This window comes from Homo sapiens, chromosome 2, assembly GCF_000001405.40.
Source record: "Homo sapiens chromosome 2, GRCh38.p14 Primary Assembly".
In the NCBI taxonomy this organism is placed as follows: domain Eukaryota; kingdom Metazoa; phylum Chordata; class Mammalia; order Primates; family Hominidae; genus Homo; species Homo sapiens.
In genome coordinates, this window is record NC_000002.12 from 177196229 (window position 1) to 177224095 (window position 27867).

The 27867-nt window shown below is 41.9% G+C and overlaps 1 protein-coding gene, 1 long non-coding RNA gene, 1 other non-coding gene and 1 pseudogene across 10 annotated transcripts, besides 6 other annotated features; 3 read left to right on the forward strand and 1 right to left on the reverse strand.

Annotated features, from left to right (window-relative positions):
* Positions 1759 to 2517, forward strand: KRT8P40 (keratin 8 pseudogene 40; annotated as a pseudogene).
* Positions 1811 to 2348: an enhancer, noted in NCBI's record as "H3K27ac-H3K4me1 hESC enhancer chr2:178062767-178063304 (GRCh37/hg19 assembly coordinates)". NCBI's record gives its function as "activates a minimal SCP1, AML or CMV promoter by ChIP-STARR-seq in primed H9 embryonic stem cells {active_cell/tissue: H9 hESC(primed)}" and the evidence as "EXISTENCE:reporter gene assay evidence [ECO:0000049][PMID:30033119]".
* Positions 7961 to 8923: an enhancer, noted in NCBI's record as "OCT4-NANOG hESC enhancer chr2:178068917-178069879 (GRCh37/hg19 assembly coordinates)". NCBI's record gives its function as "activates a minimal SCP1, AML or CMV promoter by ChIP-STARR-seq in primed H9 embryonic stem cells {active_cell/tissue: H9 hESC(primed)}" and the evidence as "EXISTENCE:reporter gene assay evidence [ECO:0000049][PMID:30033119]".
* Positions 15167 to 16183, reverse strand: LOC105373759 (uncharacterized). Its single transcript, NR_157853.1, has one exon. It is a non-coding gene; the product is annotated as an uncharacterized LOC105373759 (long non-coding RNA).
* Positions 16204 to 16993: a silencer, noted in NCBI's record as "silent region_12142". NCBI's record gives its function as "represses an Ori minimal core promoter by ATAC-STARR-seq in GM12878 lymphoblastoid cells {active_cell/tissue: GM12878}" and the evidence as "EXISTENCE:reporter gene assay evidence [ECO:0000049][PMID:35858748]".
* Positions 16204 to 17204: a biological region, named in NCBI's record as "NANOG-H3K27ac-H3K4me1 hESC enhancer GRCh37_chr2:178077489-178078160".
* MIR4444-1 (microRNA 4444-1) lies at positions 16498 to 16571 on the forward strand. Its single transcript, NR_039646.1, has one exon. It is a non-coding gene; the product is annotated as a microRNA 4444-1 (primary transcript).
* Positions 16533 to 17204: an enhancer, noted in NCBI's record as "NANOG-H3K27ac-H3K4me1 hESC enhancer chr2:178077489-178078160 (GRCh37/hg19 assembly coordinates)". NCBI's record gives its function as "activates a minimal SCP1, AML or CMV promoter by ChIP-STARR-seq in primed H9 embryonic stem cells {active_cell/tissue: H9 hESC(primed)}" and the evidence as "EXISTENCE:reporter gene assay evidence [ECO:0000049][PMID:30033119]".
* Positions 16566 to 27731, forward strand: HNRNPA3 (heterogeneous nuclear ribonucleoprotein A3). 8 transcript variants are annotated; one of them, NR_138470.2, is made up of 12 exons: positions 16566 to 16643; positions 19311 to 19433; positions 19522 to 19668; positions 19750 to 19960; positions 20275 to 20364; positions 20448 to 20543; positions 20632 to 20712; positions 21477 to 21617; positions 22809 to 22931; positions 23019 to 23086; positions 23180 to 25748; positions 25832 to 27731. NR_138470.2 is itself a non-coding variant. In NM_194247.4 (11 exons), exons 1-10 carry the CDS (start codon positions 16572 to 16574, stop codon positions 23069 to 23071), a joined length of 1137 nt encoding a protein of 378 aa, NP_919223.1. In that variant the 5' UTR covers positions 16566 to 16571; the 3' UTR covers positions 23072 to 23086; positions 23180 to 27731. The 8 variants fall into 8 exon arrangements, 7 of the variants coding, with proteins under 7 accessions (NP_919223.1, NP_001317178.1, NP_001317176.1 ...); NM_194247.4 differs by having other exon boundaries at positions 23180 to 27731; NM_001330249.2 differs by lacking the exon at positions 23180 to 25748.
* Positions 18399 to 18468: a silencer, noted in NCBI's record as "silent region_12143". NCBI's record gives its function as "represses an Ori minimal core promoter by ATAC-STARR-seq in GM12878 lymphoblastoid cells {active_cell/tissue: GM12878}" and the evidence as "EXISTENCE:reporter gene assay evidence [ECO:0000049][PMID:35858748]".
* Positions 27732 to 27867: the final 136 nt, after the last annotated feature.

Genomic DNA, 27867 nt, shown 5'->3' on the forward strand with positions numbered 1-27867 from the left:
AGTTAATGCTTAAGACAAGTTCAAATTTAAAATAGTATGAATAGAGGAATAACATATTTCCAGAACTAAAATTGCTTTAAATCTAAATCAGTACACCTACTATGTACCCATATTTTTAAAAAATAAATAACTGCATATTAGAATATTTATAATGATTATTTTCACATGGTTCATATCTGATTTAAGGGACATTTCACCAAGAAATAATCTGCTGGAAAAAGTATAGTAGGAATACAGCTACAACATGTAGATAATTAAAATAATAAAAATTAATCCCAGCACTTTGAGAAGCCAAGGCGGGAGGATTGCCTGAGCTCAGGAGTTCGAGGCTAGCCAGGCCAGCATGGTAAAACCCTGTCTTTACTGAAATACAAAAAATGCTAGGCACGGTGGCTCACACCTGTAATCCCAACACTTTAGGAGGCCGAGGTGGGCGGATCATGAGGGCAGGAATCTGAGACCAGTCTGGCCAACATAGTGAAACCCCATCTCTACTAAAAATACAAAAATTAGTCGGGTGTGGTGGTGTGCACCTATAATCCCAGCTACTCAAGAGGCTGAGGCAGGAGAATGGTGTGAACTTGGAGGCAGAGCTTGCAGTGAGCTGTGATCATGCCATTGCACTCTAGCCCGGGAGACAGTGTGAGACTCCGTCTCAAAAAAGAAAAAAAAAAAAAGGAAAAAAAAAATTAGCCAGGTGTGGTGGTGGGTGCCTGTAGTTCCAGCTACTTGGGAGGTTGACACATGAGAATTGCTTGAACCAGGAGGCGGAGATTTCAGTGAGCTGAGATCATGCCACTACACACTAGCCTGGGCCATACAGTGAGACTCCATCTCAAAAAAAAAAAAAAATTGAAGAAATTTGGACTGAAACAAATTACTCTGGCTTCACTTGTATACCCTATAATGTTTAAGATAATATATCTTTATATCTTCAAAAGACTATGATAGTATTGAACTGAACAAAATTCACAGCTGATATTATAAGCTTGAAGTAAACACACAACATATGCTAGTTAGTATGCTCTACAAATAAGCTACAGGATGTAAACAAGGCCAGAAATGTGTTATTGTAAATTCAGCATGGTTAATCCTACCAAATGAAGATTGTTTGCCTGTGTTTTTCAAAAAGGAAAACAAGCTGGGCGCGGTGGTTCATGCCTGTAATCCCAGCACTTTGGGAGGCTGGGGCAGGCAGATCACTTGAGGTCAGGAGTTCGAGACCAGCCTGGCCAACATGGTGAAACCCCATCTCTACTAAAAATACAAAAAAAGGCTGGGCACGGTGGCTTACGCCTGTAATCCCAGCACTTCAGGAGGCCGAGGCAGGCAGAACACCTGAGGTCAGGAGTTCAAGACCAGCCTGGCCAACATGGCAAAACCCCATCTCTATTAAAAATATAAAAATTAGCTGGGCATGGTGGCGTGTGCCTGTAATCCCAGCTACTCAGGAGGCTGAGACAGGAGAATGTCTTGAACCTAGGAGGCGGAGGTTGCAGTGAGCTGAGATTATGCCACTGCACTCCAGCCTGTGCAGCAGAGCAAGACTCCATCTCAAAAATAATAATAATATATCCGGGTGTGGTGGCAGGTGCCTGTAATCTCTGCTACTTGGGAGGCTGAGGACAGAGAATCACTTGAACCTGGGAGGTGGAGGTTGCAGTGAGCTGAAATTGCACCATTGCACTCCAGCCTGGGCAACAGAGCGAGACTCCATCTCAAAAAAAAAAAAAAAAAAAAAACAAAAAAAAAAAACCACACAGCGATGACCTGCGGCATACAACGACTGAGATCTCCGAGATGAACCGGAACATCAGCTGGCTCCAGGCTGAGATTGAGGGTCTCAAAGGCCAGAAGGCTTCCCTGGAGGCCGCCGTCGCAGATGCTGAGCAGCGTGGGGAGCTGGCCATTAAGGATGCCAACGCCAAGCTGTCCGAGCTGGAGGCGGCCCTGCAGCGGGCCAAGCAAGACATGGCATGGCAGTTGCATGAGTACCAGGAGCTGATGAACATCAAGCTGGCCCTGGATATGGAGATCGCCACCTACAGGAAGCTGCTGGAGGGCAAGGACAGCCGGCTGGAGTCTGGGATGCAGAACATGAGTATCCATACGAAGACCACCAGCAGCTATGCAGGTGGTCTGAGCTCGGCCTATGGGGGCCTCACAAGCCCCAGCCTCAGCTACGGCCTGGGCTCCAGCTTTGGCTCTGGCGTGGGCTCCAGCTCCTTCAGCCACAGCAGCTCCACCAGGGCCGTGGTTGTGAAGAAGATACAGACCCGCAATGGGAAGCTGGTGTCCGAGTCTTCTGACGTCCTGCGCAAGTGAACAGCTGCGGCAGCCCCTCCCAGCGTGCCCCTCCTGCGGCTGCCCCAGAGCCCGGGAGGGAGGCCACTGTGCAGGGGAGCACAGGCAACAGGAAACCCACCCGAGGCTCAGCCCCAACCCTCAGCCCACCGCGGGGGACCCCCTTTGCCCCATGCCTCCAGCTACAAAACAATTCAATTGCTTTTTTTTTTTTTTTGAGACGGAGTCTCGCTCTGTCGCCCAGGCTGGAGTGCAGTGGCATGACCTCGGCTCACTGCAACCTCTGCCTCCTGGGATCAAGTGATTCTTCTGCCTCAGCCTCCCGAGTAGCTAGGAGTACAGGCACACGCCACCACGCCCAGCTAATTTTTGTATTTTTAGTAGAGATGGGGTTTCAACATATTGGCCAGGCTGGTCTTGAACTCCTGACCTCATGATTGGTCTGCCTCGGCCTCCCAAAATGCTGGGATTACAGGCGTGAGCCACCATACCTGGCTTTTTTTTTTTTTGTCCAAAATAAAACCTCAGCTAGCTCTGCCAAAAAAAAAAAAAAAACCTTATTAAAATTTTGTAAAAAAACAAAACAGAACCACTAGTTAGAAATCTGACATAAGAGAAACAATATATAGGACTACAGGGACAAAGTAGACAAGAATCCCAAATAGCTATTTTTTTATTTTTGGAAGATACAAATGAAGAATTTTCATTTGGTTTTACATTGTTTTTACAGTGCTTATATATTTCTGGTCTTGACCACATCTTGTAGTCTTGTAGTATGAGGAAGGTACTAGTATTATTATCTCTTTTCATACATAGTGACTAAGTTACTTGTCCCAAGTTTCAGAGGTATCAAGGAATAGTGCTGGAGTTCAAATCTGGCCAGTCTGGATCCCAAATCCTTGCTGTAAACCACTATGTTATGTAGCCCCTGTGCCTATGTGGCATAAATTAAAGGCCAGAGCAAAGCAGAGTCCTTTCTAAAACGGAAGGCATCAGAGCTGCACATATCCCAGATTATACACCTCTACCTGCTGCTACTCACCGGAGCCACATTCTTCCCAAGGCAACAGGGCCAGCTTGCGTATTAGAGTCTGGTTAAGGCCTTGCTTGACTCCCCTTATTCCTACCTCCTGGCTCTTCAGGCCACATGGAGAGAGATGGCCATCAGTCTCCCTTCTCTTTAGGGACTCATTTTGTGAAGGAAAGCCATTTCCCACATAGTTTATGGCAAAGACAGGACAGGACTAGTCTTAGCCACAGTCACAGAAAAGAGAAAATGTCTTTGTTACTTTCTTAGCTAGCAAAACCCATTTCCCAGCCTCTTGATGTACTCAAAGCCTAACCTACTCTTTTTTTTCCTTTTTTTTTTTTTTTTTTTGTGATAGAGTCTCACTCTGTTAACCCAGGCTAGAGTGCAGTGGCACAATCTCGGCTCACTGCAGCCTCGGCCTCTCAGGTTCCAGCGATTCTCCTGCCTCAGCCTCCCGGGTAGCTGGGATTACAGGTGTGCACCATCACTCCTGGCTAATTTTTGTATTTTTAGTAGAGACAGGGTTTCACCATGTTGGCCAGGCTGGTCTCGAACTCCTGACCTCAAGTGATCCCCCCGCCTCGGCCTCCCAAAGTGCTAGGATTACAGGCGTGAGCCACTGCGCCCGGCCAACTTCAGTTATTTTAATGAATTCTGGAATATGGCAGAGAAACAAACTTGTACCTTGAGGCCACTATTATCCTGTAGTGTTTTTGTTACTTGCAGGCAAATTTAATGTGCCCAGCCAACTTCACTTATTTTAATGAATTCTGGAATATGGCAAAGAAACAAACTTGTACCTTGAGGCTACTATCATCCTGTAGTATTTTTGTTACTTGCAGGCAAATTTAACGTGCCCAGCAGACTTCAGTTATTTTAATGAATTCTGGAATATGGCAAAGAAACAAACTCTTACCTTGAGGCTACTATTATCTGCAGTATTTTTGTTACTTGCAGGCATACTTAGCCTATTTGCCCTCTAGTGTGTGTGTGTGTGTGACAGGGTCTCACTTTGTCACCCAGGCTGGAGTGCGGTGGCGCCATAACGGCTTGCTGCAACCTTGACCTCCTGGGCTCAAGGGATCCTCCCACCTCAGCCTCCGGAGTAGCTGGAACTACAGGCGTGCACCACCATACCCAGCTAATTTTCATATTTTTTGTAGAGATTGGATTTCATCATGTTGCCCAGGCTGGTCTCGAATTCCTGGGCTAAAGTGATCCTCCTGCCTCGGCCTCCCAAAGTGCTTAGATTATAGGTATGAGCCACCGTGTCAGGCCTCTTTCTACCATTGATCAGCAAGACTTGTGGCTTTGCTAACATAAACAGAAGAATATCCTCTCAATAACACGAAACTTTTGAGTCGGTCCCTCCTGATTCAGCAAGTGATATATTAAAGGGGGAAAAGGAATTTAGAAAAAATCATATCTTAAGATAAAAACTCAGCTTGTGGCCAGGTGAGGTGGCTCATGCCTATAATTCCAGCACTTTGGGAGGCTGAGGAGGGAGGATCGCTTGAGCCCAGGAATCCAAGATCAGCCTGGGCAATATAGTGAGACCTCATCTCTGCAAATAATAATTTTAAAAAATTAGCTGAGTGTGGTGGTGCACATCTGTAGTCCCAGCTACTTAGGAGGCTGAGGTGGGAGAACAGCTTGACCCCAGGAGGTCAAGGCTACAGTGAGCTGTGATTGGGCCGCTGGGCTGCAGCCTGGGCGACATGGGCTGCAGCCTGGGTAACATGGTGAGACCTCAAAAAAAAAAAAAAAAGAAAAGAAAAGAAAAAAAAGGAAAACTCAGCTTGCTTGCAAGGCTACTGACATGCATAATACTATTTTGTTTTCAGAAGCTGAATACCATGTAACATTTTCTTTTTGTATCCTTTCCATATCCCAGTTCTGCCAGCCTGATCAACATCTCTGCCAACTAGAGCAAAGATTGGGCTCTGAGAAAAGCAAAAAAGAAACTAACAAGAATGGTTTTCAAAACATTATGTTGTTACAATTACCTGAAGGAAAAGAGTTTCATTCCTTTGCATTCCTTAGGCCAACAGTCCCCAATCATTATGGTACCAGCGATGGGTTTCATAAAAGACAATCTTTCCATGGACTGGGACAGTGGGTGGGGGGATGGTTATCAGGACTATTCAAGCACACTACATTTATTGTGCACTTTATTTCTATTATTATATTGTAATATATAATGAAATAATGACATAAATCACCTTAATGTAGAATCAGTGGGAGCCCTGAGCTTGTTTTCCTACAACTAGATCGTCCCATATGGGGGTGATGGGAGACAGTGACAGATCATCAGGCATTAGATTCTCATAAGGAGCATGCAACCTAGGTCCCTTGCATGTGCAGTTCACAATAAGGTTCAGCCTCCTATGAGAATCTAATGCCACTGCTGCTTCTGCTGATCTGACAGGAGGCGGAGCTCCAGTGGTAATGCAAGCAACGGGGAGCAGCTGTAAATATAGATGAAGCTCCACTCTCTCTCTCTGAAATAATAATTCAGTCAAATACAGATGAACCTCCTGCTGTGCAGTTTGGTTGCTAACATGCCATGGACCAATACTGGTTCATGGCCTAGGTGTTGGGGACCCTGCCTTAGGCCATTTCCCATCTACACAGCTGCCAAAGCTCATCTTTTTAAAACGGCTGACAAATTTGTAGAAACAGAAAGCAGAATAGAGGTTACTAGGGCTGAGAGAAAAAGAATGGAGAATTATTACTTAGTGGGTACAAAGTTTCTGTTTGCAATGATGGAAAGGTTTTGGAAATAGAGAGTAGTGATAGTTAGACAATATTGTGACTACAATTAATGACAATTGTAATTCTAAAATACTTAAAATGGCACACTTAATATTATATATTTTTACCACAAAATAGATAAAAGCTAGAAAAAAAGCCTCTTAAAAGAATACAGGAAAAGATGCCTATCCCAAAACCCTTTAATCATCTCTGTCTATTCCTATACCGACTTATTCTAATTTTTATGAAAGCTTTTGGAGGCTGCAGAACGTGTCTAATATATGCTGTAATAGTAACCAGAATATTTGTTTGCTTAGCTGAATAATTACAAATAAAAGCACTTTACTTGGAGACCAGGGGCAGTGGTTCACTCCTGTAATCTCAGTACTTTGGGAGGCCAAGACAGGAGGATCACTTGAGGCCAGGAGGTCGGGACCAGCCTGGCCAATATGGTGAAACCCAGTTCTCTACTAAAAATGCAAAAATCAGCTGGGTGTGGTGGTGGGCACCTGTAATCCCAGCTACCCGGGAGGCTGAGGCACGAGAAGCACTTGAACCTGGGAGGCAGAGTATGCAGTAAGCCAAGATTATCCTACTACACTGCAGCCTGGGTGACAGAGCGAGACTCTGTCTCAAAAAAATAAAAAATAGTCGGGCGCGGTGGCTCACACCTGTAATCCCAGCACTTTGGGAGGCTGAGGCAGGCGGATAACCTGAGGTCAGGAGTCTGAGACCATCCTGGCTAACATGGTGAAACCCCGTCTCTACTAAAAATACAAAAAATTAGCTGGGCGTGGTGACGGGCGCCTGTAATCCTAGCTACTCGGGAGGCTGAGGCAGGAGAATCACTTGAACCCAGGAGGCAGAGGTTGCAGTGAGCCGAGATGGCGCCACTGCACTCTAGCCTGGGAGACAAGAGCAAAACTCTGTCTCAAGTAAATAAATAATAAAAAATAAATAAAATAGCATTTTACTTGGTACATGTTTTTTTCCATTTTATGATGTGGGGGCAGAAGTAACTCTTTAGCAGCTCATACCCAGATTCCTTTTACAGAGAGAGACCGTTTACTTGAACAGAGCTCTAAGGTAAACAAGAGTAACAAAAAGAATCTCGACTAGGGAAGGATTCTGCTTACAGTAATCCAGGGGAGGAGGAATACCTGAATCATACTTGAGCCTGGAAAATCTAGATCCTTGATTTTCAAATTATTTGTCATCTAAGATTGTGTATAACTTTGTATAAGATATAGGCTTAGCAGTGTCCCCTTCATATTTACTTATTAAAGAAAACCAAAACTTCCTTGATTACAAAAACTGAAGTATATATTTAAAAAGTTGTTAGTGGGAAGAAAAATGATGCCAGAGCCCAAGAAATTAATTAAGGCAATAATAGCAAGAGGACCAGATGAACCAGAAGAAAGGAAAATACAAAGAAATTAAAATCAGCAAATAAAGCAAAAGTATTCTAAAATCTAAATGGGAATTTAAGTAAACAGAACAAAAAGGGGTTGAGAGGTTATTGAAAACACAGGCAACCTTAAATGTCTTGCATTCTTTAAGCCTTTACAGAGTGTTATTTTTAAATTATTATTATTATTATTATTACTATTATTATGAGATGGAGTCTTGCTGTGTCACTCAGGCTGGAGTGCAGTGGCACGATCTCGGCTCACTGTAACCTCCACCTCCCAGGTTCAAGCGATTCTCCTGCTTCAGCCTCCCAAGTAGCTGGGACTACAGGTGTGTGCCATCACACCCAGCTAATTTTTGTATTTTTAGTAAAGACAGGGTTTCACTATGTTGGCCAGGCTGGTCTCAAACTCCTGACCTCAAGTGATCCTCTCGCCTCGGCCTCCCAAAGTGCTGCGATTACAGGTATGAGCCACTGCGCCCAGCCCAGAGTGTTATTTAAATTTCGCACATTAAATATCTCTTGAGCATTACTAGACTCACAACAATATGAAAGCATTAGTCCTTGCTTCCACAAGAAAGGAGATTTCCTAACTGTCGCTCAGGTAATTTAATCTCTACATTCTACCTTGTTTACAGCCATATAGCTGTAAGATTGCAGCCTGGGCCAGAGATCTGTACAGCAGAATTGGAAGGAGCTATCATGGTGTGACTTGCTGAAAGAGTTTCTGTCCAAAATCAAATTCTTCCACTGACTTGCTTCACTGACTCTTATTCCCACCATTTGAAAATGTTTGCTTTGGGTTAAGGTATTATTGTCACAAGAAATTTTCTTAAGACATAGATCTCCCAGGGAGAGCTAAGATTCTGGGATTCATTTGTTAATGTGAACTCAGCAGGACACAAACGAACAAGGCACAGAACAGCTCAGTTTCTGTGTGTGGAGGGTCCCGTGGATCTGTTTTCTTGCTCACATCTCAGTCAGAAGTCTCATGTCACTACATACTAACATATTTTCCTCATTTAATATCCGATATTGCTACTGATGAGTATTTCCCTTTAATGAATTACATTTGGGTTACAGTTATCTTCACCATTCCTACACAGATAAGCAGGCCTTAATTTACAAATGAGCCAAACATTCATACAGTAATTTTGGTCTCTCACTGCCAATTAATTACAGAAAACAATGGAGCTTTTTTGTAAATCTGGGGCTTAAATGTGAAGGAAGAAAAGACTCCCAGGTCGAGATGTGCCTACGATGGCTGACTCCAAGGACAATCTTGCTGGCAGTGATAGCCTACCTATTTAGAGGCCACTCTGTCCCTTTCCTCATCCCCAAATCTCTTCCAAATGTTGCCTAAATTCCACCATATAGAGTTTGTTTTGATTAATAAAATTCATATGCACCTGACAGAGAACTCAAAAGGACATAGAGGCCAAATTTGGGGCAATTTAAATATCAAAAGGAATAATGACTGCAATTGATTATAAAACAGTGAATAAATAAAAACCCATGAATCTATAGTGATACTCAAAGAGAGAGAGAGAAAAAAGATAATTTGCCACCTTTGAAGGTGACTGTTATACTAACTTCTTATTCTGAAAATTGGTAATTAAAGTACCTACCCTGTCTTTTAAGGAGGAATTGTAGTTCATTCCCAGTTGGTGAAGAGACATTTTGTGTGTGTGTGTGTGTGTGTGTGTGTGTGTGTGTGTGTGTGTTTACAAATGCTAGCTAATAAATGTAGAAGAAATGATATAATTAGAAAAGTCATCATTCTGTCATCCCCAATGAAATAATAATTCAGTCAAGGGTGATCAAAAATGCTAACACATAATGGGAAAGGTTGTTTTGGGGTCCAATATTTGCATGGGACCAAAGTACCACCTCAGAGATGACCTTCTCATTACAAAGGAGGGTTTTACCACTTTGATGAAATTTAACATCACAAATAGCGGGACAATCTGATATTGTGTGCCGCGTAATGTGACACAACAATCTAAACTACACATCATCACCTCTGATATACTCTTGCTCAACCTGATTAATTTGAAGTTAATAAGAGTTTGGATTTAACCTTCCAATTTATAGGAAATGAAGGAGACAGAGAATCTAGTTAAATCGCACCTGCAGAAAACAATCAAATAAACCCAAAATGTAAAGCATCCTACAAATTCATTTGTCCTGATCTCTTCAAAAGGTCAATTTTATGGGGAAAAAAGTGGAGGTGTGACACCTTTCCTTACCCATTGTAAGGGTCATGGCCAACACTCTTATAACAGAAGACAAGTTAGTAAGAGAAAAGTGTAACTAATTAATTTAATCAAAGTTTTATGTGAAAGTCATTTGTAAAGCACCTACTAAAAAGATTTCAGCCTTTTCAGACTTCCAAATTGGGATTTGTCTGAAAGAGAACGTAAGTCCCTGTGAATGACTCCTTAATACTTTTTGTATCAAATTACCTCCTCAATCTCTAAATCATTCAACTGTGGTGTGTGTGTGTGTGTGTGTGTGTGTGTGTGTGTGTGTGTGTGTGTGTTGGGAGAAGGAAGTGATATATCTTGTCATCTTAACAAATACACTAATCAGGCCTAACCTCTTCTTTAGCTTCCTAGGAGGCATGTACAAATCCCCTGAGAGTTCTCACGCACTTACACCACCTCATACTTTTCCCAGGGAAAGTGGCCACTCGTAGGAGAACAATGGGTGCATTTCACAAAGTTTCTCAGGAAGTTCTATACCTCAGTGTGACAAAACCTTATGGAAACAAGAGGAGAGAGAAAACGAAAAAGGGAAGGATCCAGAAGGAAGCAGTGATGAACTAAAGGGAAAAACCAATGTCCTTAATAAAGACAAAAAAGGAAAACATCAAAAAGAAGCAACAGGGCCGGGTGTGGTGGCTCACACCTGTAATTCCTGCACTTTGGCAGGCTGAGGCAGGTGGATCACCTGAGGTCAGGAGTTTTGAGACTAGCCTGGCCAACATGATGAAATCTTGTCTCTACTAAAAATACAAAAAATTAGCTGGGCATGGTGGCGTGTGCCTGTAATCCCAGCTACTCAGGAGGCTGAGGCAGGAGAATCACTTGAACCTGGGAGGCGGAGGTTGCAGTGAGCCGAGATCGCGCCACTGCAATCCAGCCTGGGCAACGAGAGCAAAACTCCAACTCAAAAAATAACAAATAAAAATATATAAAAATTAGCCAGGTGTGGTGGTACATGCCTGTAATCCCAGCTACTTGGGATGCCAAGGCAGAAGAATCGCTTGAATCCAGTAGGCAGAGGTTGCAGTGAGCCAAGATCGTGCCACTGCACTCCAGCGTGGGCAACAGAGCAAGACTCTGTCTCAAAAAAAAAAAAAAAAAAAAAGGATGAACAGGCAGTAATGTTGATCCCTAGGTCAGGAAGGATTAACATTTAAGAATAGGGATATTAATTTGACAGATAATCATTTGTGACCTTGGAAAAACAATTTCGATAGCCTGTGGCAGAAACTAGGAACACTTAAGAAATGAGTGGCAGCCTGTGACAGAAACTAGATTAGGAACACTTTAGAAATGAGTGCTGACAAGAAAGTGGAAGTAAATACAAGATGGCAAGTGAATAAATTTCTGAAAAGAGACCAGGTACCTGCTCTAGACAGGGCACTGTACTGGGCACTGTGCAGACTTCACGGGCATATGACCTTTGCAGTTGCACAGAGTCCAGCACTTATAAGGGTCCTGGCTTGGCTTAATACTTTGATGTCATGTCTTGAAATTCTTAATAATTTTTGAACACGGCACCCTGCATTTTCATTTTGCACATGGCTCCACAAATTATGCAGTAGGTCTGTATTAGTTCGTTCTCATGCTGCCATGAATACCCAAGACTGGCAATTTATAAAGAAAAAGGTTTAATTGGCTCACAGTTCCACATGGCAGGGGAGGCCTCAGGAAACTTACAATCATGGCAGAAGGCACCTCTTCATAGGGCAGAAGGAGAGAGAATGAGTGCAAGCAGGGGAAATGCCAGATGCTTATAAAACCATCAGATCTCCCGAGACTCACTAATTATCATGAGAACAGCATGGGAGAAACCACCCCCATGATTCAATTACCTCAACCTGGTCCCATCCTTGACATGTGGGGATTACAGGGATTACAATTCAAGGTGAGATTTGGATGGAAACAAAGAGCCAAACCATATCAAGGTCCAACAGGGCACTGAAGGGGACCCAAAATATGTCATCCATGATTCATATATCTAATGTTGAATATTCCATAAATAAGTGAATTGCCTACTACAGAGCCAATCACTGTAGTGGTCTCTGGAAACATAAGAAACATAGTGAACAACACAAATGTATGATAGATTTTTAAAGAAAAGGTTGTTACCTTCAAGAATATTAAAATGTAAATACAGTGATTATATGACATTCTAATTCAGCACTTTACTTGCAGGGCCTATATAATTTTAGTCAATGTATTCAACTTTCCTACATCCCAGATTAGGGAGAATTTACCCTCCTAAGTTTATTAAGGGAATGAAATCAGGAACATAATGTACGTGGCCCATTACAAGGTATACAGTAGTATTCAATAATGTGAGTGACTATGATGAATTTCCAGCACCTAGCATTGCCTGGCACATAGTAAGAGTTTGGTAAATAACTTTGTTAAGTGGAAGAGAAAGGAAATTTCAAATCAATCTGGATAGTTAGACATACATTGGTAAAAATAAAACAAATATGTTTGTTTCATATATATAAGCATTGATTAGGCCAACAAGAAAATGTGAGAGGATATGTAATAAGTTGTTGATCATGGTCAAATCTATGTAATAGGATTTTGTGGGGAAAGACTTTTTGTGTGTGTTTTACTTTATAAACTCCTTATTTAAAAATCAAGATTTTAGAAAATAAAGCTTTGGTATATTCTGAATATAATGGCACATAACAAAGCTTATAGTTTATTACAATTCCTCCCTTTTAAGGGTTACCTTCTTCCCTCATGCCTGTAATCCCAGCACTTTGGGAGGCCGAGGCGGGTGGATCACAAGGTCAAGAGATGGAGACCATCCTGGCTGACGTGGTGAAACCCCGTCTCTACTAAAAATACAAAAAATTAGCCAGGTGTGGTGGTGAGCGCCTGTAGTCCCAGCTACTTGAGAGGCTAAGGCAGGAGAATCACTTGAACCCGGGAGGCGGAGGTTGCAGTGAGCCGAGATTGTGCCACTGCACTCCAGCCTGGTGACAGAGCGAGACTCTGTCTCAAAAACAAACAAAATGAGTTACCTTCTTCCAGCCAGGCACAGTGGCTCACGCCTATAATCCCAGCACCTTGGGAGGCCAAGGCGGGCGGATCTCTTAAGATCAGGAATTCCAGACTAACCCAGCCAACATGGTGAAACCCTGTCTCCACTAAAAATACAAAAATTAGCCAGGCGTGGTGATGCACGCCTGTAGTCCTTACTACTTGAGAGGCTAAGGCAGGAGAATAGCTTGAACTCAGGAGGCAGGGGTTGCAGTGAGCAGAGATCACGCCACTGCACTCCAGCGTGGGCGACAGAGCAAGAGACTCTGTCTCAAAACAAAAACAAAAACAAAATTAGCCGGGCATGGTAGCATGGGCCTGTAATCCCAGCTACTTGGGTGGCTGAGGCATGAGAATTGTTTGAACCCAGGAGTGGTAGGTTGCAGTGAGCCGAGATCATGCCACTGCACTCTAGCCCGGGTGACAGAGTGAGACTCTGTCTCAAGAAAAAAAAAGTCTAGATCAGAAACTGCATAAAGCCACTTCAACCATAAAACCTAATATCAAAATGTATTCACAGGAACAAGTTCAAGTTGATCACTAAAAAACACGGAAAATTTTAATTTGAAAGTTTTATGCAAATTCAATATTTAATATCATTCCTAATACTTTGTATTTTATCAAAATCAGATGCTTAAAACATTACCACCACTTAGATGCCTCCAAATATCTTCTAGTTTACCCTACTATGCTGTACAAAAATGATTATTTTCTGTATGTCATGATATAAAGGAGAGGGCCTGATATAGATTATAAAGTTTGTCTGCCACCCATCTCACCCTAGGACCCTCATTCCCTCCTCCCATCCCATACACTCCCTTTCTCATATCAAAGAGTCAGGGCTGCAAGTGCAGACCATAGCCAAGGTTCAAGTCTGTGCCCTACAGGGTCAAGGACTGGAAAAGTGGTTTTTGTACCTGAGACATAACTGGACCTTAAGTTTATTTATTTATTTATTTTTTGAGATGGAGTCTCGCTCTGTCACCCAGGCTGGAGTGCAATGGCACGATCTCAGCTCACTGCAACCTCCGCTTCCCAGGTTCAAGCGATTCTCCAGCCTCAGCCTCCTGAGTAGCTGGGACTACAGGCACCCACCACCACACCCGACCAATTTTGTATTTTGAGTAGAGACAGGGTTTCACCATGTTGGCCAGGCTGGTCTCGAACTCTTGACCTCAGGTGATCCGCCCGCCTTGGCCGTCCAAAGTACTGGGATTACAGGCTTGAACCACTGCGCCCAGCCAGCAGCGTGATCTCGGCTCACTGCAAGCTCCGCCTCCCGGGTTCACGCCATTCTCCTGCTTCAGCCTTCCCAGCAGCTGGGACTACAGGCGCCCGCCATCACGCCCGGCTAATTTTTTTTTTTTTTTGTATTCTTAGTAGAGACGGGGTTTCACCATGTTAGCCAGGATGGTCTCGATCTCCTGACCTCGTGATCCGCCCGCCTCGGCCTCCCAAAGTGCTGGGATTACAGGCGTGAGCCACCGCGCCCGGCCTTTTTTTTTTTTTTTTTTTTTTTTGAGGCGGAATCTCGCTCTGTCACCCAGACTGGAGTGCAGTGGGGCAATTTCAGCTCACTGCAACCTCCGCCTCTTGAGTTCAAGTGATTCTCGTGCCACAGCCTCCCAAGCAGCTGGGATTACTGACGTGTGCCTCCATGCCCGGCTAATTTTTGTATTTTTTTTAAAAGTAGAGACAGGGTTTAACCGTGTTGGTCAAGCTGGTCTCAAACTCTCCACCTCAGGTGACCTGCCTACCTCGGCCTCCCAAAGGCCTGGGATTACAGGTGTGAGCCATGGCGCCCGGCCAGAGCTTGTTTAGACAAAAGCATAAAAAATAACTAATGTCTAAAAACAGCATACAGTCAGGATGAACAACAAATCTGGACCAATACAATAGGGAGGACAAAAAGATGTGAATAAATGGGCTGACATTTCATGTTCCTGGAGAGAACTTAGTATCCCATCCCACATTGTTTCGCGATTTAACATTAACATTTATACAAAAGTTACTAATTAGAACAAAAGTTATTGATTAGAATTAACTTATTAGAAAAACCTGGACAAACATACCCTAAAGTGCAGCCAGGTGATCACTCTTCTTGATCACCTATGTAATGTCTCATAGAGTACTCTGGTGTGAATAGCAATTTCCAAAGGTCTTTCACTTTGCATTTTTCTTTGTATCCAGAATCGATAAAGTTACCAGGACTATTTCACAGTAATTAGACTTACAAAATCTTAACACTAAATAGACGCTAAGGCTATACATTCTTCCAATGTCTCAAGTCTATTGCTGGCCATCAGGAGCACCTGGATACGTAGAACATAAGAAAGTTTGCGAAAAAGGAATCAAAGCAACAGGAGGAGTCTGGTTTGAACGGTTATTTCAACCAAATTACATTAAGGACTGCTAACTGTTTTCTGCCCCACAAAAATACCCTTTGTAAATGTTTCCAAACTATAACACAGGTCCTCCTGGAGCAACGGCTAGATAAATTAACAAACTTTTAGACTTTACGCTCCCCTTTTCCAAACTCCAAGTCGACCACTCCCCATTTGTTAACAGAAACTTACTATAACTGATTAGATTTCTAACCTTTCCTAGGGAGAGCCAGTTCAATTCTAAAAGGGTTGGTCACATGGGTTGCTAAATTAAAATATAAAGCATTTCCTAACAGGGAAGGGAGGCTGGTCAATTGTGGTTATTTTTATCAGTAACTTTAAATATGGATCCATAGATTATCAATTTATGGCTGTCGTGGGTGTTAGAAGATGACCTAATCCCATCCCCATTTTCATTTAAAAAACTGAAACTAAAGCTCTGTAAAATCAAATGATTTAAAATCATCTGACTAGGCCGAGAAAGGATTAGCTCTCTAGAGCATTACGGTAACAATCATTCGCAAACAGGTAGCATTATCTGGCGACCCTGCTTTTCTGGAAATCTTGTCAATTATTCAGTTCCTTAAATTCCGTCAGCTACAACAGATGCATCAGCTCTTTCCACACTAACTTGAAAGAAGCACATTAGAAAATAGTCCTGACTTGTTTCTTGAGATCAGTAACTAATGAACTGACCTCCACCAGTCCTGCCTCAGGTCGTTAATGGTAAAAATTCTGTATGTCAGCCGCGTTTTGAGGCCTGTCCAAGGTGCTTGTGAGTCCCACATGTTGGAGTCGCAGGGCTTTTCAGTACATGCCCTCAGGCAGGCGGCGCAGTCACAGACACTGGTCCCCGGCATTTGGAAACAGGAAAGATGGTCCGAGGGGCCGAGGAGTTTTTCTTGCAACCTTTAAATTACAAGCAAGAAAAACGTGGGTTTTATTTCGGGCACAGGAATAGAATGAATTCTGAAATGGAGAACTAGAGGCCTGCGTGGGGAATGAGGGACAAGCGCGAGAAGAAAGGGAAAGGCCTTTCTCTCTGGTGACGCGCGATCACAAGGCGTTCCCTCTACGTGGACGCTCACCATTGGCGGAGACCGCACTGACGTCCCGGAACTCGCCCTGACGCGAACGGCGGCAAAGGCCCTCTTCCCCTGAAAGCTGGCGAGGCGCGCGCGCTCCCGCGGCACGCCGCGCCTCCGCCCTCCGCCCGCCAACCCGCTGGTCCAGTCCCTCTTCGCGCCCGCTTGGCTCCGCCCCCTTCCCAATTCGCTCCTCCCCCAACAGACTGGCGGCGCGCGGAAAACGCGTCACGTGACGACTGGCCCCGCCTCTTCCTCTCGGTCCCATATTGAACTCGAGTTGGAAGAGGCGAGTCCGGTCTCAAAATGGAGGTAAAACCGCCGCCCGGTCGCCCCCAGCCCGACTCCGGCCGTCGCCGTCGCCGCCGGGGGGAGGAGGTATTAGGGGGAGAGCGGGGGGTTGGTGGGGAATGGCCGGCGTTGGGGGCCTGGTTCGGTGGGAGCGGGGAGGCCGGGTGGACCGGGTCGGCCGTCCCGCGCTCTTGCGTTGAGACAGGCTGTGGGAGGGGGAGGGGAGCGAGAGTTGGAGACCTCCTTGGGGCCCCTCGCCCGCCTCGCCTTCACCTTCGGCTGCACAGGCGGCCCCTTGGAGGCGCGGCTTGGTCGGGGAGGCCTCGGGAGGGAAGCCGGCCTGCCGGCTGCGCGGCCTCCGAAGCGAGGCCGAGGGCGGCATGGCGGGCCCCGGCGGGAGCGGTTGGGAGGAGGTGGTGGGGGAGGGGAGGGGACGAGCAGGCACATCCGGGCGAGCGAGCAAGCGGGCGGCGGCCACATTGACATTGATCCGCCGCCGCGTTACGAAATGGCGCATTGGCCCGCAATGGCCGCCGCCTCGCTCTGCCGCCGGGAAAGCGAGCCTGGGATTGGAGGGAAGAGGGCGGAGGCGGCCCGGCAGAAAAAGCCGCAAATGGCCTCGAAGCATGGGGAGGTAGTGCTTTCGCTGAAGTTCTGCCGACGCTTTTCTAGGCCTTTTACGGGTCCTCTCCGCGAGAAGTCGATAATTGGCCTTTTCTTTTTTTCGCAGCATCCTGTTGGAAATACGAGATTGTTAAAAACTTTGCTGCTTTAAAATACTTCCTGATATATTTTTGCTAAAGTACTTACATTACACTTCTTAAACCGCCATGTGGGCGAAGGACTTAATTTTTGAGAATTTGAGTGTAGATGTGAAAAACAACCCAGCCAGCTCCTTCCCGGCTCCGGCCGCTGAGGAGGGTGGGTGGAGAAGAATTTGAGTATAGTATGTTAAGGAAGAATTTAGAAATGTTTTTTATCTTCATGTTTTCCCATTCTTTGAGTCGGCTCTGGTTGTAGTTTCCTGGAATTTTATTTAGAGGACTGCAACCAGAGTTGAAATTTTCACGTTTTTGCAGTACATTTAATGTGGATCCTAAATATTTTTGTCGATTTCGTTATTGTCAATCGAATACATTTATCCAAGACTTGAAAAGATGAGATTACATGAATTAATGCTTTAGGCTATTAACGTTTTTTTCTAGCATGTGACAATCTCTTCACATTAAACGGTTTAACATCTCTACCTCTAGGAGACACAGGAAGACATTAGAATGTAAATGTGAGCCCCTTATTTAAGAACTTCGGGTGAAGGAAACCTTAATGCATGCATTAAATGACAGTTCATGCAATGTGTTAAAAAGTCTTGACTAAAGTATAAAACAATTTCAAGACATCTTAATTCTTAAAAATCTCAATTTTTGTTTTGCTGTACTCCGTTCTTATAGTCAGACAATACATACCATTCCTAATGTAAGTCCAACTTGCCAGTTAGTTGTGACTCTTAAAATTGAGTTGTAAATTGCAGATTTTTGCAGCATATAACAAACATGGGTTATAGAAAGCTATTTGATCGGCTTTTTTTTTTCCTCAGTTTTTTTGGGAAATGCTGGTTTGGCTTAGGAATGCCTGTTTTAAATTAATTTGCTTGAAAGCAGTGAGTTTCTGTAAGTTTGACATTCAGAACTTTTAGATTGTTCTTCATCACAGTTTTGAGTTTAAATGTATGGGCCGGGCGCTGTGGCTCACGCCTGTAATTCTAGCACTTTGGGAGGCCGAGGCGGGCGGATCACGAGGTCAGGAGATCGAGACCATTCTGGCTAACACGGTGAAACCCCGTCTCTACTAAAAATACAAAAAGTTAGCTGGGCGCGGTGGCGGGCGCCCGTAGTCCCAGCTACTCGGGAGGCTGAGGCAGGAAAATGGCGTGAACCCGGGAGGCGGAGGTTGCAGTGAGCCGAGATCGCGCCACTGCACTCTAGCCTGGGCGACAGAGCGAGACTCAGTCTCAAAAACAAAACAAACAAAAAAATTAAATGCATGTTGGGTTGTAGACTGAGAAGAGTTGAAATGGGATAGATGCAACACTGCTTCTCCAACAGTTTAGTGCCTTAGAAAATGACTTACTAGCAACTTCTAAAGTAAAGGTTCTCAGACAGTTGTAGCTTTTAAAAAATGAAGCGATTTTTTGATTCTGGAATTGTCTTGGATTTCAATTTAGTTGAAGTGATGCTGGCATTTGAAAGGCTGGTTATAGGTTTCCTTGACATAAGTTAGCCCCTTTAACAGTTGAAGTCTTATTTCTGGTCAAAGTTTTTGTTGTTTTGTTTTTTTGAGACGGAGTTTTCGCTCCTATGGCCCAGGCTGGAGTGTAATGACATGATCTTGGCTCACCGCAACCTCCGCCTCCTGGGTTTAAGCGATTTTCCTTTCTCGAGTAGCTGGGATTACAGACGCCCGCCACCACGCCCAGCTAATTTTTGTGTTTTTAGTAGAGATGGGGTTTCGCCGTGTTGGCCAGGCTGGTCTCGAACTCCTGACCTCAGGTAATCCATCTGCCTCGGCCTCCCAAAGTGTTGGGATTACAGGCATGAGACATCGCGCCGGTGTCTGGTCAAAGTTTTAACTGGACAAAGTGTTAACTGTCACAGGAATTTGATGTTGATTTTATTACTTACCGTACATTAAAGGCTCTTCGTGCATCTTAATTCATCTACTGTAAGGTAACTTAAGAGTATTGGTTCTTTCTCTCAGGGCCATGATCCAAAGGAACCAGAGCAGTTGAGAAAACTGTTTATTGGTGGTCTGAGCTTTGAAACTACAGATGATAGTTTACGAGAACATTTTGAGAAATGGGGCACACTCACAGATTGTGTGGTAAGTTACTAAGAGAACAGAAGGGTTCTAAGGGGTGTAGAGAACCGGTGGAGGTGTTTTCAACGTTATAAAACTTTTTATTTTGTAGGTAATGAGAGACCCCCAAACAAAACGTTCCAGGGGCTTTGGTTTTGTGACTTATTCTTGTGTTGAAGAGGTGGATGCAGCAATGTGTGCTCGACCACACAAGGTTGATGGGCGTGTAGTGGAACCAAAGAGAGCTGTTTCTAGAGAGGTATTTTAATAATACATTGTGTAATATGTGAAATTGTTGTGAAAGTTTGTTTCTTGACTTAATATATTACTTTATTTGTAGGATTCTGTAAAGCCTGGTGCCCATCTAACAGTGAAGAAAATTTTTGTTGGTGGTATTAAAGAAGATACAGAAGAATATAATTTGAGAGACTACTTTGAAAAGTATGGCAAGATTGAAACCATAGAAGTTATGGAAGACAGGCAGAGTGGAAAAAAGAGAGGATTTGCTTTTGTAACTTTTGATGATCATGATACAGTTGATAAAATTGTTGGTAAGTAGCAATTTATGGTAACTTGAATGAGAAAGTAGAACTGGTTTTTCTGTTTTGAACTAAATTTGCTAAATTGTAATTTTCTGTTGCGTGTAATGGCATTTATAGTGTATAGTCAATTTTCATAGTGTCTGCCTGTGTAATCAGTATCCAGATCAAGAAATAAACATAAACATCTCAGAATGCTCCTTCATTACCAGAGTCACTACCTGATTATGTCTTAATGGGTTACATAATGACAGAGGGTATCTCATATATGTGCTTTTCCAAACATAAAATAACTTTTTGTTTTGTTTGATTGAAAAAAAATTTAGTTCAGAAATACCACACTATTAATGGGCATAATTGTGAAGTGAAAAAGGCCCTTTCTAAACAAGAGATGCAGTCTGCTGGATCACAGAGAGGTGAGTAGGACCATACACATGTATACAGTGGATATGAGTGGTGTTTGTAAGGTTCTTAAAAATCTCCCTTGCCTGTATTAAAGGTCGTGGAGGTGGATCTGGCAATTTTATGGGTCGCGGAGGGAACTTTGGAGGTGGTGGAGGTAATTTTGGCCGTGGTGGAAACTTTGGTGGAAGAGGTAGGCTGTTTATCTTCTAAGTACATGGATACCTGACATTTTGGTAAGTTGAATATATTATTTTAATTCATTTCTTGTTTTTCCTCAGGAGGCTATGGTGGTGGAGGTGGTGGCAGCAGAGGTAGTTATGGAGGAGGTGATGGTGGATATAATGGATTTGGAGGTGATGGTAGGTGGCTTATTTTCATTGATGTTTGATATTTTAACTTTCTTTACTTATTGAAAATTATTTATTACACTTTTCTAATTTTAGTTAAAACTTCAGTGGCTAAATGGTTAAGGTGTATTTCCAAACTGTACATGGAAGAACAGGAACCCTTTTTCCCCTGGAGAGACATTAGCTGCTCTTTTTCAGCAAGTAGTAGGGGTTGAGCTAGAATTGTTCTATTAAGTCTGAGACTATATTTTTCTTAGTGAAATTTTGTAAAATGAAAACTGATTTTCTTTTTTACTATCAGAAGATGGGTTACACATTTATTTTTCATTCTTACTAGTGCAGATACTTGATACTCTATTATTATTAGGTATTACCAGGCTTCAGAGTGCTAAATCAATTCATTGGCTTATTTGCCAGTGGCTTAAATGTAATATAAAACCAGAGTTGAGTAATTCTAGCTATTCAGGAGGCTGAGGCAGAGGGGTTGCTTGAGGTGAGGATTTTGAGACTAGTCTGAGCAACATAAGGAGACCGTATATCTAGAAAAATAAAATAGGGGAACATGGTGGCACATGCCCATAGTCTAGCTACTCAGGAGACTGAGGTGGGAGAATGGCTTGAGCCCAGGAGTTCAAGGCTGCATTGCTGTGGTTGCACCACTGTACTTGAGCCCGGGCAACAGAGCAAGACCCAGTCTCTTACACACACACCAGAATTGAATAACGTGACTATACACTTAAGTTTTTGTGTGGTCTTGTTATTTGTTGTTTTTTTAGGTGGCAACTATGGCGGTGGTCCTGGTTATAGTAGTAGAGGGGGCTATGGTGGTGGTGGACCAGGATATGGAAACCAAGGTGGTGGATATGGTGGAGGTGGAGGATATGATGGTTACAATGAAGGAGGAAATTTTGGCGGTGGTAAGCATTCACTTGTTTTATTTAAATGTTAAATATTCAGTGTTGCTAACAGTTCCCATGACACATATTTGGAAAGTGTTAAAAGCGTTTGATCAAATTTTATGTTCTATAAGAAAAATACTAAAATGGTTGGTAGTTCAAACCAAATTTTCTTGACTTTGCTGGTTATTTAGTAAAATGTACAAATGTACTCAGCTCTCTTTTTTCTTTTTTTTTTTTTTTTTTTTTTTTTTTGAGATGGAGTCTTGCTCTGTTGCCCAGGCTGGAGTGCAGTGGCGTGATCTCAGCTCATTGCAATCTCCGCCTCCCGGGTTCATGCGATTCTCCTGCCTCAGCCTCCCTAGTAGCTGGGACTACAGGCGTATGCCAGCACGCCCGGTTAATTTTTTTGCATTTTTAGTAGAGATGGGGTTTCACCATGTTAGCCAGGATGGTCTCGATCTCCTGACCTTGTGATCTGCCCGCTTCTGCCTCCCAAAGTACTGGGATTACAGGCATGAGCCACTGCACTCAGCCAAATGTACTGAATTTTTAGTTGAGTAGTAAAAAATGGACATTTACCAGTATTCAGTACATGTTTTACGTGTAAAAGATTGGGAGTTTATTTATTGCCAAAATTTTACTTAACTCCTTGGTACTTTTAAACTGGACAACCGGGAATAAATTGTTTGAATACTCCAGACGTGTTGAAGTGAGCAGGTTGCCATCTAGGGCCCAGGTTAACAAAGTACTTTGGGTCTTAATATAATATGTCACAGGTAGTTGAAGCGTTTAAGCAAGCTAGTGTATGTAGGTCATTAAGCCACAATACTGTTAAAAGCTTTCTTAGGAATGCACTGTTTTATTGGACCTAATTAACATGTCAATGACAGATGAGTGGAAGTTTTAACAAGTTAGAATGCCTTCTCATTGTTTTAAATGTTATACTGCTTCAGAATCATAGTGAATGGAACACTGGCAATTTTAATGGTGTTAATGGTAGAGAGAACATGCGCCTAGAGGACAGCATTTAATATAAACAAAATGTTGATGGTCTTTTAATATCCTGACATCAGTTACCCCAAGTGGTGCTACCACAGTGATGTGTATAAGCATGCTACCATAATTCTCAAAAGATAATAGTTACATACGTTAAAAGGGGAAAATGATGATTGTGTAGGTAAACCACACATAAAACCTTTCTGATTTCAGGTAACTATGGTGGTGGTGGGAACTATAATGATTTTGGAAATTATAGTGGACAACAGCAATCAAATTATGGACCCATGAAAGGGGGCAGTTTTGGTGGAAGAAGCTCGGGCAGTCCCTATGGTGGTAAGTACTTTCTTAAATCAATTCTTTAGAGCCTTTTTAATTTAAAAAATGTGCATACTTCTTTTAAAATACTATGTATATTTTCAGGTGGTTATGGATCTGGTGGTGGAAGTGGTGGATATGGTAGCAGAAGGTTCTAAAAACAGCAGAAAAGGGTAGGTATCTTTAAATTTTTATTATGATGATAAAAGAATATGTGGAACTGTTCACTGAGTGTAATAATTTTTTTATCCTGTATTATTCAACAGGCTACAGTTCTTAGCAGGAGAGAGAGCGAGGAGTTGTCAGGAAAGCTGCAGGTTACTTTGAGACAGTCGTCCCAAATGCATTAGAGGAACTGTAAAAATCTGCCACAGAAGGAACGATGATCCATAGTCAGAAAAGTTACTGCAGCTTAAACAGGAAACCCTTCTTGTTCAGGACTGTCATAGCCACAGTTTGCAAAAAGTGCAGCTATTGATTAATGCAATGTAGTGTCAATTAGATGTACATTCCTGAGGTCTTTTATCTGTTGTAGCTTTGTCTTTTTCTTTTTCTTTTCATTACATCAGGTATATTGCCCTGTAAATTGTGGTAGTGGTACCAGGAATAAAAAATTAAGGAATTTTTAACTTTTCAATATTTGTGTAGTTCAGTTTTTCTACATTTTAGTACAGAAACTTTAACAAAATGCAGTTTCGAAGGTGTTTCCTTGTGAGTTAACAAGTAAAGAAGATCATTGTTAATTACTATTTTGTATGAATTTTGCTAAAGTTAACTGTAAAGAAACACCTGCTGACTTGCAGTTTAAGGGGAATCTATTCTCCCCATTTCCAAACCATGATATGAATGGGCGCTGACATGTGGAGAGAATAGATAATTTGTGTGTTTGCAATGTGTGTTTTAGATAAATAGGATTGGGTATTTAAATTAGCATTTGTGAATTTAATAGCATTAAGATTACCTTCAAATGAAAAAAAATCTCAAAATTTCTATTTGGTTTTTGTGCATTTTCTTTTAAAATGTAATCATATGATTTTAGTGTGTTAGACTTGCTGAGTCCTAGCTGTGTTTAGAACATCTCTATTCTACATTTACCTTGGTCAAATTTGAACTGCTGCCATAGGTTTTGGGTGTAAAGAATGTTTACTGCCCTCCATTTAAATTCTGAAAAGGGATGGTGGATGTTTTCCCTCTCCTACGTTAGAAACCATTCTTAAAAACTTTTGAAAATATAGAACCATTAAGCCTGCTATATCTGAGCAAATTAGTGGGTACCTTTTTTTTCTTATTTAAAGCACAAGAGGCCCATAAATCTTGAGTTACTTTAAATTCTTTTTTTTGATACAAGTTTTCAGAGCAAGAGAATAAAAATCATGTGTTATTAAACCCCTAACTGGCTGGCATGCTTTCCTGTTTGTATTCTATACATTTTGCTGGATGAAACCAAGGATAGTTCAGGTATAATTGTCCAAAATAACCTAACTGCAGCAGAAATGTAGCACAGTTGCTTAGTACAGGCTTCTCACTTCCTACAGACCTGAATTCAAATTTGGATAGTCTGAGTTCTTAAATTCCCAAAGAACACACTGTTATTTCTTGTGTATATTTCAACATAAATCATGTTGTTACCAATTTGTTTGGAAGGCCCTGGTTGAGAAGAGTTTTAGTTAATAAGGTCATATATACATATATTAATATAAACCAATGTCTACTGTTTTGCTCCAGCTAGTGCTTACAGTTTCATTCGAGCCCTGAGTATGTGCCCTGCTGTTACTCTCTTTGGTAGTTGAACGTTGAATTCAAGTCTTTTGTTTTAAGAAGTACTAAGCAAACAAGCAATAAAAAGGGGAATGGGGTGTGCTAGTGTTTGAATATGCTCTCTTGTTGCTCTAATTCTGTGCCTCTGTGCATTAATATTTGGATGCATGCAATGCCAGCATGGAAATTGGTCTTCACACATACTGCAGTTTTCCAGAAACATTCACAAACCAATAAATGTAACAGACATTCCATTTGTTAATGGGCATATATGTGAAAAGCAGTGTAGAAAATAGGCTAATATTAGAAAATGGTTAAGTCCTAAATAACTTCAAGTGTGGTTATATAATGGACACTGTCAATGTTCATAACTTAAACCTGGGTACCTGGTCAAAATAATGCTTGGGAAACATTAAAATTGAGCTAAATTGTCTCAAGTTCTTTTATTCATATAAATAAAGTTTAAAGGAATGGGGGAGATTAACATTTCCTGTTTTATGTTTGTGAAATTGTTTGACACAACCTTGACAGTATCCTTTAATGGCATGAGGTTAATTGTACTGTTAACCAACTTTCTATGTTCTGGAACTAGTATTATAGTGAAAACATTTACAGTAAGTTGATGTTTACAACCTATAAGCAGGTGAAATCTGTGTATGTGACCTGTTTATAAGTTGTATTAGCTTAGCTCTTGTGAACAGTGTGGAAAAGTAAGCCATGAGGAGAGCGATTTAACCACCTTTAAAGGACCTAAGATGTGCTTTTTAAGCACAGTGTGGATCACAGAAACTCACTAAGACAGGACTTCAGCAGCCTTTTGTGTTTGGACAAGTCAGCATAAATAAAGAATGACAAGGCAGCAGCAAGAGCTTCAACTACAGAGAAGTGAAGGCATAAGATACTATGATGATAGTGAGCAACTTTCCAAAAGCTAGTTAAATCTGCTTATTACAACTGAAATATCGAAGAAAGTCTAGCAGGAAGGAGCTCTTCGCCTTTTGGAACATCAATGAGAGATAGTTGCCACAGTCACTAGGTCTAGCATTTAGACCTGCAAGGAAGGGCAATAAGCATTAGGTAAGGCTTGAATTTGAATTTTTTCACTAATTAAAGAGTAATTTTTTGTAAAGCAAGGTAAGAGTAATCTTTTTGATTTGCAGGTTGAATGAGAACCCTACTTGCCTAAATGAGGAATGTCTTTCCTACCATCTAAAATACGAAGGTTTCTGGCTGGGTAAGGTTTGTAGTTGACAGTAAAACCTGATGACACCATTTGTTTCCCTGCAAGTCTACATTACATATTTCACAACTTTGTCCCTCTCTAGTAGGCACATTGGAAAAATTCTTCAACTGAAAACTACCTTGGTACCATGTCCTACACGTTTTAAACCTTAGTTTTAAAAATTCCCCTGCGAAATAGCCATAAGTATTCATATCAAGTCAGTTGTGACTCCTTGTGTATACAATTCATTTTTTGTGTCTTCAGGGTAAACTCAATTTTTGGTAAAGTGGTTTCAGCTTTTGTGAAAACCGTTTTGGTGTGTAAGCATGACACACAACAGACTCAGTAAGCTGCCCATCCTCATACTAGGAAAACACCTTCAAAGGAACATTAAAAGTTACCAGGGCCAGGCACAGTGGCTCACGCCTGTAATCCCAGCACTTTGGGAGGCTGAGGCAGATGGATCCCAAGTCCAGGAATTTGAGACGAGCCTGGGCAACATAGTGAGAGCCTGTCAACAAAAAATAGAAAAATTAGTTGGGCTTGGTGATACACATCTGTAGTCCCAGCTATTTGGGAGGCTGCCTTGATATCAGGCAGTCGAGGCTGCAGTGAGCTGACTGCCCCACTGTATTCCAGCCTGGGTGACCCCATCTCAAAGAAGAAAAGTTACCAGATGTCATGGGTAAAGGTTGGTCTTCAAGTGGCCTCATAAGTTGTCTTGCATTTAAATTCAGGGAATTCATTGGACCAATAGGTTACATTTTCGTTCCTTTTTTGTTTTGGTTCATCTGTTAAGCAGTGGGGGCCTAATTACTGCTCCTTTGTAAAAACACATTTTCCCAAAGAACACTGAATTACCGTTCAAACTGGTTGTTGATGGGTAATAAGGGCTGTTTTTGCTGCCCCAAAAGGGCTTAACAATTTAGTCGGATAGTTTACTTAAAAAAAAAAATCCTTTGGAGACATACTGAAAATGCAAACTAGTTTCTAAATTATCAATTCCCTACATGAAGAAGCAGTTTGCCAGAGTTTAGTCTCAGAAAATGACTGGTTGGCTCTATTTAAATCAGAACCCAATTTCTACGCGTGTTGAATAAGGTAACAGCCTTTGATGAATTTCCTTCACAACATGGTTTTAGTGAAGCAAACATTTTTTTTTTAAGGGCATTGTTCTTTCTAGTTTATTTCTTTTTATGAAATAAAATTATTTTATTTAAACAGTTCCATTGTCGTTTCTGAAAACTACAGTATTCTCAGAAGTTGTAGCAGCAGTAAAAAAAAAAAAGTTGTTATATAAGTGATTGGGGCAGATTTAACTGATTTTGTTAAACCAATTTGTAAGTTACTGCTTCTAATATTACACTTCTAAAAAGCTGAATTTATACTCATGTCCTAAAGGAGAATATGTGGTAATAAAGTATATTTGTTAAGTAACTAATTGAAATAGGCTTGGTTTTAAGAGTTCCAGTATATAATAATCACAAATTGAAACCTGACAGTATCTTGGGAGTTCCAGTAATGTCACAAATTAGTGAATAAGCATGCCAGTGTGCAAGGGTAATGTAAGGATTGTTAGCCTATCTAAATATTCAAAATTACTTTAAAACTTAAGTATGTTTTCTGATTTTTAAGAATTCAGAAGTGTTCTGTAATGGATTCAGATGTTTCATTTGTAGTATAATGAAATGTTTACAGAAAGATAACTTTTTCATTAAAATATTTTTAGAAATGTGTGTGTTGTTTTGTCACTTCACAATGTTCATGTGACTTAAACACTATAGGTGAATATTTTGACTTATTTTACCAGTAAGTAATAAAACAACAGGAAACTTGGAGTGAGCCTTTATCAGTTATTTTTAAAGATGTGGATTCTATTATATGGGAAACAAGCCATGGGAAATAGGCATGGAAGGAAAAATAATTTTTAAAGTTATCAACCCTTGTTGCCTAAAATAGGTCTTGAAAGACAAT